This window comes from Homo sapiens, chromosome 3 (genome assembly GCF_000001405.40).
Source record: "Homo sapiens chromosome 3, GRCh38.p14 Primary Assembly".
Classification (NCBI taxonomy): Eukaryota; Metazoa; Chordata; class Mammalia; order Primates; family Hominidae; genus Homo; species Homo sapiens.
Window position 1 is genome coordinate 99,025,564 of NC_000003.12, and position 11,804 is coordinate 99,037,367.

An 11,804-nucleotide genomic window follows, 5' to 3' on the forward strand; every position below is an offset into this window, starting at 1 on the left:
AGGATTTCCTCCATTTTTTAAGGCTGAATGGCATATCATTGTGTATGTATACCATATTTTCTTCACACATTCATCAATTGATGGAGACTTAGACTGATTGCATGTTTTGGCTATTATGAATAATACTGCAATAAACTTGTGAGTGCAGATATCACTTCAACATACTGATTTCAATTCATTGGAATATGTACCCAGAAGTGGGATTCCTCGATAATATGGCAGTTCTATTTTTAGTTTGTTGAGGAGACTTTATGTTGTTTTTCATAATGGCTGTACTAATTTAAAATCCCACCAGCAATGCACCAGAGTTCCTTTTTCTTCCTTGTCTTTTTGATAATAGCCATTCTAACAGGTGTAAGATCTGACAAACCTAATTCTAAATGCCCTTCTAAATCTAGGAAAGCATGTATGGGAGATAGTAATAATGTCTTCTAAGTCAGTCAAATGCTTTATAATTTAGTCAGTTGAGCTCATATTTTGGTATTGTAGGGAGGACATGAGAAGCAGAGCAGGGCAATGTTGGTAAGAAAATATTTGCACTCTATTTGATCCTTTCTTGTAAAACACCATCCATTGCCTAACATTAGATCTTTGCTACTCAACACATCATTAGCACTTTTCCTACAATTGTTGAGGTAATATATCTTTGTTTGAAATGATAAGTTTTCTGTACCCTATTGGAGGCACAGCAAAGATGCAAGTTTTTATTCATACATCTTTCAAAGCACTGGAAATAACCAATTAAAAATTATCGTATGTTGCTAGAAGTGCCAGTTCGAAAGTGGTGGTGTAGAAACAAGCTGGCTCCATTTTCCCCCAGAGAAAACCAAAAACAAATATGCAGCACAGAGATTATCACCAGCAATAGACCAGAACTCAAATATGAGGATAAGACAGTTCCTATGGCCACAGATAAGTGAAAAAACTCTGAGCAGGTGGTGAGAGAATTGAACTTCCATATCTGCAATGCCCCTCTTCCCCAGTCTGTCCAGCACCAAGTGTATGGAAAATTACCCCCCAACTTATGGTTTCTATACTGGAAAAAGTGAGACTGAGGTGAACAATTAGCTTCCCCACCATTTGGGATTCCATGTAGGAGACTTGTCCCTGGCTCAAATCGTGGGAAGCATCAGGAGTGCTGGAAGGGAAAAATATCTCTGAGGAGAGCCAAAGACAAAGAAGGGGAGGTGGGACTACCATTGCCAGCCCTGGAAATTCTGATTTGTAACTCAGCCAAAAAAGGTGCCAAATCAGACTGGCTGTTCAGCAGAACTGTCCTGTAGGAGATTTGTTCCACGGGTACACTGAACATGAACTCCTAGCCACCTTCCCTTGAATTAGGGAGGTCCCAAAGGTGATACAGGGAAATCCCCTTTGGGACCTCTCTAATGCAAGACGGTGGCACTCTGTTTCCTAGAACCAAGGCAAACCTGGGCTTAGGGTGTCATCTCATACCAAAAAGGAAGGAGGGACCTAGTGGACATATTTTAAAAACCTAAATAAGCCAAACAGAGAATATTGGAATAGATAACTAATCTTTCAATGCAAAGACACAAATGTATACCCACAAGAAACAACAGCAAACAGGGAACCATGATCTTCCCAAATGGACAAAGCAAAGAATCAGTGACTAACCCTAACAAGATGGTGATATGTTAACTCTCTGACCAAGAATTCAAAATAGGAGTTTTAAGGAAACTAAGTGATTTCCAAAATAACAGAAAAACAATTCAGAAATTTATTAGAGAAATTTAACAGAGATTGAAATAATACAAGAAAATCGAATAGAAATCTTAGAACTGAGAAATACATTTGCTGAACTGAAAAATTCACTAGACTGTCAAGAGTAAAATGGCTCAAACAGAGGAAAGAATCAATGACCTTGAAAATAAGCTATTAGAAAATACACAGTCATAGGAGAAAGATAGAAAAAAATGAAAAGGAATGCAGATCACTTACACAATATAAAAATTATCCCAAAAGACAAACATCTAAGAATTATTGGTGTTCAAGAGGAAGTTGAGAAAGAGCAAATTGTAGAAAGCTTACTCAAAAAAATGAGAAAAAATATTACCAAACCCTGAGAATGAGATAATTCAGGTATAGGAAGGTCAGAGAATATCAAACATATCTGATCAAATAAGACCACCCAAAGGCATATAATAGATTCTCAAAGGTCAAGAATGAAGAAAGTATCCTAAAAGCAGCAAGATAAAAAGAAGAAAATAACATATAAAGGAGCTTCAATTCATCTGGCAACAGACTCCTTAACAGAAACCATGTAAGCCAGAAGAAAGTGGTCTGACATTTTCAAAGTGCTGAAAGAAAATAACTGTCATCCAATAATACTATATCCAGCAAAGCTATTCTATAAATATGGAGTACTTTATTTCTCAGAGAAACAACAACTGAGAGAATTCATCACCACCAGACCTGTCCTACAACAAACACTGCAATATAATAATAGAAGGGGACTTTAACACCTCACTCTCAGTAATTGACAGTTATGTATAACTAATATAACAAATTTCAGTAACTTCATCTAAAGAAAAAAGTGTGCATAGAGAAAACATTTAAAGGTGTAAAAGTTACTGGTAAAATTAAGTACACAGAAAACGCGGAATACACTAATACTATAATTGTGGTTTGCAATCTATTTATAACTTTAGAATAAAACCCAAATGAAAAATTTATCAAAAACAATAATATTTACAATAACCTGCTAAAAGATAGGCAATATAAAAATATGTAAATGGGGGTAACTAAAAGTCAAAACATGGGGTGATAAAATTAATGTGTAGAGGTTAAAGATTTTTTCTTGGTTTGTTTGTCCCTATTTTTTTTCTGTGTGATCAAAGATAAGTTCTCATCTCTTTGAAATAATGTGTTATCAATAGCAAAGACTTGGAACCAACCCAAATGTCCAACAATGATAGACTGGATTAAGAAAATGTGGCACATATACACCATGGAATACTATGCAGCCATAAAAAATGATGAGTTCATGTCCTTTGTAGGGACATGGATGAAGCTGGAAACCATCATTCTCAGCAAACTCTCGCAAGGACAAAAAACCAAACACCGCATGTTCTCACTCATAGGTGGGAATTGAACAATGAAAACACATGGACACAGGAAGGGGAACATCACACACCCGAGCCTGTTGTGGGGTGGGGGAGGGGGGAGGGATAGCATTAAGAGATATACCTAATGTTAAATGATGAGTTAATGGATGCAGCACACCAACATGGCACATGTATACATATGTAACTAACCTGCATGTTGTGCACATGTACCCTAAAACTTAAAAAGTATAATTAAAAAAATAAAATAAAATAATGTATTATATCTATATTTTTTACCTCATGGTAACCACAATGAGAAAACCTATAACAGATTCACTGAAAATAAGAAGCAATAAATTAAAACATACTGTCAGAGAACATAACCACAATAAATGACAATAAGAAATAAAGGAAGAGGGGACTTACAAAACAACCAGGAAACAAGAAAAAAAATAGCAGTAGTTAGTCCTTACTTGCCAATAATAACAGTGGATGTAAACGGACTCAATTCTTCAATTAAAAGACAAAGATTGGCTGAATGAATAAAGAAACAACACCCAACTATACGCTACAGGAGACCCACTCTACCTACAAAAAAACAATAGACTGAAAGTGATGGGATGCAACTGGAAATCAAAAAAAGAACACGAGTAGCGTACTTATATCAAATAAAACTGTCTACAAATTAAAGATTGTAAAAACTAAAGAAGGTCACTATACAATGATTAAAAAGGTCAAATCAACAAGACAATATAGCATTTTAATGTACGAATGGCCTCAACACTGGAGCTCCCAAGCATATAAAGCAAACAGTAGCAAATTTAGCACCCAGCTCTCAGTAACAGGTCATTCAGAAATAAAATCAATGAAGAAACAATACAGTTAAACTACGCAATAGACCAAATGGGCCTAACTGACACATAGAGAACATTTCACCTAACTATTGCGGAATACACATTTTATTCATCAACACATGGAACATTCTCCAGGATAGACAATATCTTAGGTAACAAAATAAGTCTCAACAAATTCAAAAAAGTAGAGGTCATGTTATCTTTTCTGACTACAATGGGATAAAACTAGAAATCAATAAGAAGAGGAAACTTGAAAAATACACGAGCACATATAAATTAAACAATATGCTCCTGAATGACCCAATGTGTCCGTGAATAAATTAAGAGGGAAATTTGAAAAGCTTCTTTAAATAATTAAAAAAGGAAATTTAACATACAAAAAAAATCCATACAATACAATAAAGGCAGCATTAAGAGGAAATTATTTAGCAATAAATGCCTATACCAAAAAAGTAGAAAGACTTCAAATAAACAACCTTATGATGTACCTCTAATAATTAGAAAATTTAAAAAATCAAAAAAATACAGAAGATCAATGAAATAAAAATTTGGGTTTTTGAAAAGATAGCGAAAATCAACAAACCTTTAGCTAGACTAACAAATAAAAGAGAGAACACCCAAATAAATAAAACCAGATCCATAAAAGAGACATAACAATTGAGACTACAGAAATATAGAGAATTATGAGATACTATTATATATAATTATATACTAACAAATAAAAAAATCCGGAAGAAATGGATAAAATTTCTGGACACACACAATTTACCAAAATTGAATGATAAAGAAACAGAAAACCCAAACAAACTAATAGTGTGTAATGAGATCAAAGCCGTAATAAAAAGTTTCCCTTCAAAGAAAAGCCCAGGACCTGATTGTTTCACTGAAGAATTCTACCAAACATTTAAGGAAGAACTAATACCAATTCTCTTCAAACTCTTCAAAAAAATTGAAGAGGAGGGAATACTTTCAAACTCATCCTATGATGCCAGCATTACCCTGATACCCAAACCAGATAAATACGACAAAAAAATGAAAACTACAGGCCAACATCCCTCATGAACATAGATGAAAGAATTCCCAACAAAATTGTAGAAAACTGAATTTAAGAACACATTTAGAAGAACACTTATCATAATTAAGTGGGATTCATTCCAGGGATGCAAGCATGGTTCAACATACACACATCAAAAAACATGATACATCTCATTAACAGGACCAAGAACAAAATCTATAATTATTTCAATAGATGCTGAAAAAGGATTTGATAAAATTCAACATCGCTTTATGATAAAAACTCTTATCAGGGCTGGGTGCAGTGGCACATGCCTGTAATCCCAGCACATTGGGAGGCCAAAGCAGGTGCATCACTTGAGTTCAAGAGTTTGAGACCAGCCTGGCCAACATGGTGAAACCTGTCTCTACCAAAAATTCAAAAATTAGCCGGACATGGTGGTGGGCACCTGTAATCCCAGCTGCTTGGGAGGCTGAGGCAGGAGAATCGCTTGAAACCAGGAAGCAGAAGTTGCAGTGAGCTGAGATCATGCCACTACACTCCAGCCTGGGTGACAGAATGAGACTCTGTCTCAAAAACAAATAAGCAAACAAACAAACAAGGCACTCTTATCAAACTGGGTAAAAAAGAAACATACCTCAAATTAATAAAGGCCATATATGAAAAACCAATAGCCATAATCATATCAAATGAGGAAAAATTGAAAGTCTTTCCTCTAAGATCTAGAGCAAGACAAAGATGCTCACTTTTACCTCTTTTATTAAAATAATACTGGAAGTCCTGGCCAGAGCAATTAGGCCAGAGAAAGAAATAAAGAACATTAAAACTGGAAAAGAAGAGGTCTCATTTGCAGAAGACATGATCTTATAATTAGAAAAACCTAAAGACCATTAAAAAACTTAGAACTGATAAAAAATTCAGTAAAATTACAAGATACAAAATCAACATACAAAAATCAGTGGCATTTATATATGCCAATAATGAACAATCTGAAAAAGAAATCAAGAAAGCAATCCCACATACAATAGTTACAAAGAATATGAAATACCCAGGAATCAATTTAGCCAAAGAAGTGAAAGGTCTATCAAGGAAACTATGAACTATGAATAAAAAATTGAACAGGACAAAAAAGTAATAGAAAGATATCCTATACTCATGGATTGGAAGAATTGATTTTGTTAAGGTGAAAATTCTAACCAGATTCAAGGTAATCCCTATCAAAATACCAATGATATTCTTCACATAAATAGAAAAAAAAATCCTAAAATGTACATGGAATCAGAGACGACCCCAAATACACAAACGAATCCTGAGCAAAAAGAACAAACCTTAAGGCATCACACTATCTGACTTCAAAATGTGCTACAAAGATACAGTAACCGAATCAGCATGGTACTGGCATAAAAACAGACGCATTGACAAATGGAAGAAAATATAGAACCCAGATATAAATCTACACATTTACAATCAACTCATCTTTCACAAAAACACTAAGAGCTTATAATGAGAAACAGACACCCTCTTAATTAATAGTGTTGGAAAATGGGTTAACATATGCAGAAGAATGAAACTGGACTCCTACCTCTCACCATATAAAAAATCAAATCAAGATGGATTAAAGACTTAAGTAGAAGACCTGAAACTATAAAACTACTAGAAAAAAAACATTGGGGAAATGTTCTAGGACACTGATCTGGGCAAAACAAATGTTTTTAACTTCAAATTTTATTTTAGATATGGAGATACATGTGCAGATTTGTTACATGGGAATATTATGTGATGATGGAGTTTGAAGTACAGATTCTGTCACCCTGGTAATGAACATAGTACCTAATTGGTAGTTTTTTTTTTTTTTTAACCCACTCCCCTTTCTCTAGGGCAAGTTTTTTTGTATAAGATCCCAAAAGCACAGGCAACCCAAACAAAAGTATACAAGTGAGATTACATCAAGCTAAAAAGCTTTTGCCAAAAGGCCTGAATAGACATTTCTCAAAAGAAGACATACAAATGCCAAACAGGTGTCTGAAAAGGTGCTTAACACCATTGATTACCAGAGAAAGGCAAATCAAAACTACAACTGGATAAAATCTCACCCCAGTTAAAATGGCTTATATCCAAAAGACAGGTAATAACACATGCTGTTGATGATGTGGAGAAAAGGGAAGTATATACACTGTTGTTGGGAATGTAAACTAGTGTAACCATTATGGAGAACAGCTTGGAGTTTACTACAGAAACTAAAAATGGAGCTAGCATATGATCCAGGAATCCCACTTCTAGCTATATACACAAATTAAGAGAGTAAAAATAGAGAAAATCCAAATAAACACAATCAGAAATGACAAAGTGGACATTGCCACTGACCCCACAGAAATACAAAAAACCCTCAAAGACTGCCATGAACACCTCTATGTACACAAACTAGAAAACATAGAAGAAATGGATAAATTTCTGGAAATATAAAACCTCCCAAGATTGAACCAGGAAGAAACTGAATACCTGAACAGATCAATAACCCATTCTGAAATTGAATCGGTAATAAAAAGCCTGTAAACTAGAAAAAGCCCTGGATCAGATGGATTCATAACTGAATTCTTCCAGATGTATTATGTAAAGATGACCTGGTACCATTCCTACTGAAACTGTTCCAAAGACTTGAGAAGAAGAGACTCCTACCTAAATCATTAAATGAGGCCAGCATCACCCTGATACCAAAACCTGGCAGGGACACAACAACAACAACAACAAAGAACTTCAGGCCAATATTGCTGATGAACATAGATGCAAAAATTCTCAACAAAATACTAGCAAACTGAATCCAGTGGCACATCGAAATCTACCACGATCAAGTAGGCTTTATTGCTGGTTGGTTTAACATACTCAAGTCAATAAATATGACTCATCACATAAACAGAACTAAATAAAAACCAAATAACTATCTCAATAGATACAGAAAGGCTTTCGGTAAAATCCAACATCGCTTCATGTTAAAAAACCCTCAATAAACTAAGCATTGAAGGAATAATATCTCAAAATAATAAGAGCCATCCATGACAAACCCACAGCCAACAACAAAACTATCAATGGAGTAAACATACAACCTACAGAATGGAGAAAACATTTGCAAGTTATGTATCTGACAAAGGTCTAATATCCAGAATTTATAAGAAACTTACACACATTAAGAAGCAAAAAACAACCCCATTAAAAATTGGCAAAGGACAGGTACAGCAGACACTTCTCAAAAGAAGACATACACGTGGTCAATATGCACATGAAAAACTGCTCAACCTCATGAATCATTACGGAATTGTAAATCAAAACCATAATGAGATACCATCTCATACCTGCCAGAATGGCTATAATTAAAACATCAAAAAATAACAAATGCTGGCAAGGCTGCTGAGAAAAAGGAATTTTTATATACTGCTGGTGGGAATGTAAATTAGTCTAGCCATTGTGAAAGCAGTTTGGCTATTATTCAAATAACATAAGAAATAATTGCCATTGGACCCAGCAATCTCAATATTGGTTATTTACCAATATAAATCATTCTATCATAAAGACACATGCATGTGTATGTTAATTGCAGCACTACTCACAATAGCAAAGACATGGAATTAACCTAGATGACCATGGTAAACTGGATAAAGAAAATGTGTTATATATATGCCATGGAATACTACGCAGCCATAAAACAGAATGAGATCATGTCCTTTGCACTAATATGCATGGAGCTGGAAGCCATTATCCTAAGTCGACTAATGCAGGAACAAAAAAACAAATATTGCATGTTCTCACTTGTAAGTGGGAGCTAAACATTGAGTACAGATAGACACAAAGAAGGTTACAACAGACACCAGTGCCTACTTTAGGGTGGAGTGTGGGAGGAGGGTAAGGACTGACAAACTACCTATGAGGTACTGTGTTTATTGCCTGGGTAACAAAATAATCTGTATACCTAACTCCCATGACATGCAATTTACCTATATGACAAATCTGCCATGTACTCCTAAATCAAAAATAAAAGTTAAAAAAATAAAAAGAAAAGCAAAATGAGCATAATGGTGGCAACAATAGGCCCACTGTTGGGATAATATGTAAAAACAAATAACTAAACAGGTATAATTAGATTGTTTGTAACACAAGGAAAGGATAAATGCTTGAGGTAATGGATACTGCATTTACTCTGATTTGATTATTATGCATTGTATGCCTATATCAAAATATCTCATGTACCTCATAAATTTATACACCTACTATGTACCCACAGAAATTTAAAAAAAATTTAGGGGGAGGAGCCAAGATGGCCGAATAGGAACAGCTCCGGTCTACAGCTCCCAGCGTGAGTGATGCAGACGGGTGATTTCTGCATTGCCAACTGAGGTACCGGGTTCATCTCACTGGGGAGTGCCAGACGGCAGGGGCAGGACAGTGCGTGCAGTGCACAGTGCACGAGCCGAAGCAGGGTGAGGCATTGCCTCACCTGGGAAGCACAAGGGGTCAGGGAATTCACTTTCCTAGTCAAAGAAAGTGGTGACAAATGGCACCTGGAAAATCTGGTCTCTCCCACCCTAATACAGCACTTTTCCAAGGGGCTTAAAAAATGGCACATCAGGAGATTATATCCCCTGCCTGGCTCAGAGGGTTCTATGCCCACAGAGTCTCACTCATTGCTAGCACAGCAGTCAGAGATCAAACTGCAAGGGGGCGGTGAGGCTGGGGGAGGGGTGCCTGCCATTGCCCAGTTAGTTGTTTGATTAGGTAAACAAAGCAGCTGGGAAGCTCGAACTGGGTGGAGCCCACCACAGCTCAAGGAGGCCTGCCTGCCACTGTAGGCTCCACCTCTGGGGGCAGGGCACAGACAAACAAAAAGACAGCAGTAACCTCTGCAGACTTAAATGTCCCTCTCAGACAGGTTTGAAGAGAGTAGTGGTTCTCCCAGCACACAGCTTGAGATCTGAGAATGGGCAGACTGCCTCCTCAAGTGGGTCCCTGACTCCCAAGTAGCCTAACTGGGTGGCACCCCCCAGTAGGGGTGGACTGACACCTCACATGGCCGGGTACTCCACTGAGACAAAACTTCCAGAGGAACGATCAGACAGCAGCATCTGTGGTTCACCAATATCCACTGTTCTGCAGCCATTGCTGCTGATACCCAGGCAAACAGGGTCTGGAGTGGACCTCTAGCAAACTCCAAAAGACCTGCAGCTGAGGGTCCTGACTGTTAGAAGGAAAACTAACAAACAGAAAGGACATCCACAACAAAAACCCATCTGTACGTCACCATCATCAAAGACCAAAAGTAGATAAAACCACAAAGATGGGAAAAAAACAGAGCAGAAAAACTGGAAACTCTAAAAACCGCAGCGCCTCTCCTCCTCCAAAGGAATGCAGCTCCTCACCAGCAATGGAACAAAGCTGGATGGAGAATGACTTTGATGAGTTGAGAGAAGGAGGCTTCAGATGATCAAACTACTCCGAGCTAAAGGAGGAAATTTGAACCAATGGCAAAGAAGTTAAAAGCTTTGAAAAAAAATTAGACGAATGGATAACTAGAATAACCAATGCAGAGAAGTCCTTGAAGGACCTGATGGAGCTGAAAACCAAGGCACAAGAGCTACGTGATGAATGCAGAAGCCTCAGTAGCCGATGCGATCAACTGGAAGAAAGGGTATCAGTGATGGAAGATGAAATGAATGAAATGAAGGGAGAAGAGAAGTTTAGAGAAAAAACAATAAAAAGAAATGAACAAAGCCTCCAAAAAATATGGGACTATGTGAAAAGACCAAATCTACATCTGATTGGTGTACCTGAAAGTGACAGGGAGCATGGAAACAAGTTGGAAAACACTCTGCAGGATATTATCCAGGAGAACTTCCACAATCTAGCAAGGCAGGCCAACATTCAAATTCAGGAAATACAGAGAATGCCACAAAGATACTCCTCGAGAAGAGCAACTCCAAGACACGTAATTGTCAGATTCACCAAAGTTGAAATGAGGGAAAAAAATGTTAAGGGCAGCCAGAGAGAAAGGTCAGGTTACCCACAAAGGGAAGCCCATCAGACTAACAGTGAATCTCTCAGCAGAAACTCTACAAGCCAGAAGAGAGTGTGGACCAATATTCAACATTCTTAAAGAAAAGAATTTTCAACCCAGAATCTCATATCCAGCCAAACTAAGCTTCATAAGTGAAGGAGAAATAAAATCCTTATCAGACAAGCAAATGCTGAGAGATTTTGTCACCACCAGGCCTGCCCTAAAAGAGCTCCTGAAGGAAGCACTGAACATGGAAAGGAAAAACTGGTACCAGCCACTGCAAAAACATGCCAAATTGTGAAGACCATTGATGCTAGGAAGAAACTGCATCAACTAACGAGGAAAATAACCAGCTAACATCATAATGACAGGATCGAATTCACACATAACAATATTAACTTTAAATGTAAATGGGCTAAATGCTCCAATTAAAAGACACAGACTAGCAAATTGGATAAAGAGTCAAGAACAATCAGTGTGCTGTATTCAGGAAACCCATCTCACATGCAGAGACACACATAGGCTCAAAATAAAAAGATGGAGGAAGATCTACCAAGCAAATGGAAAACAAAAAAAGGCAGGGGTTGCAATCCTAGTCTCTGATAAAACAGACTTTAAACCAACAAAGATTAAAAGAGACAAAGAAGGCCATTACATAAAGGTAAAGGGATCAATTCAACAAGAAGAGCTAACTATCCTAAATATATATGCAGCCAATACAGGAGCACCCAGATTCATAAAGCAAGTCCTGAGTGACCTACAAAGAGACTTAGACTCCCACACGATAATAATGGGAGACTTTAACACCCCACTGTCAACATTAGACAGAT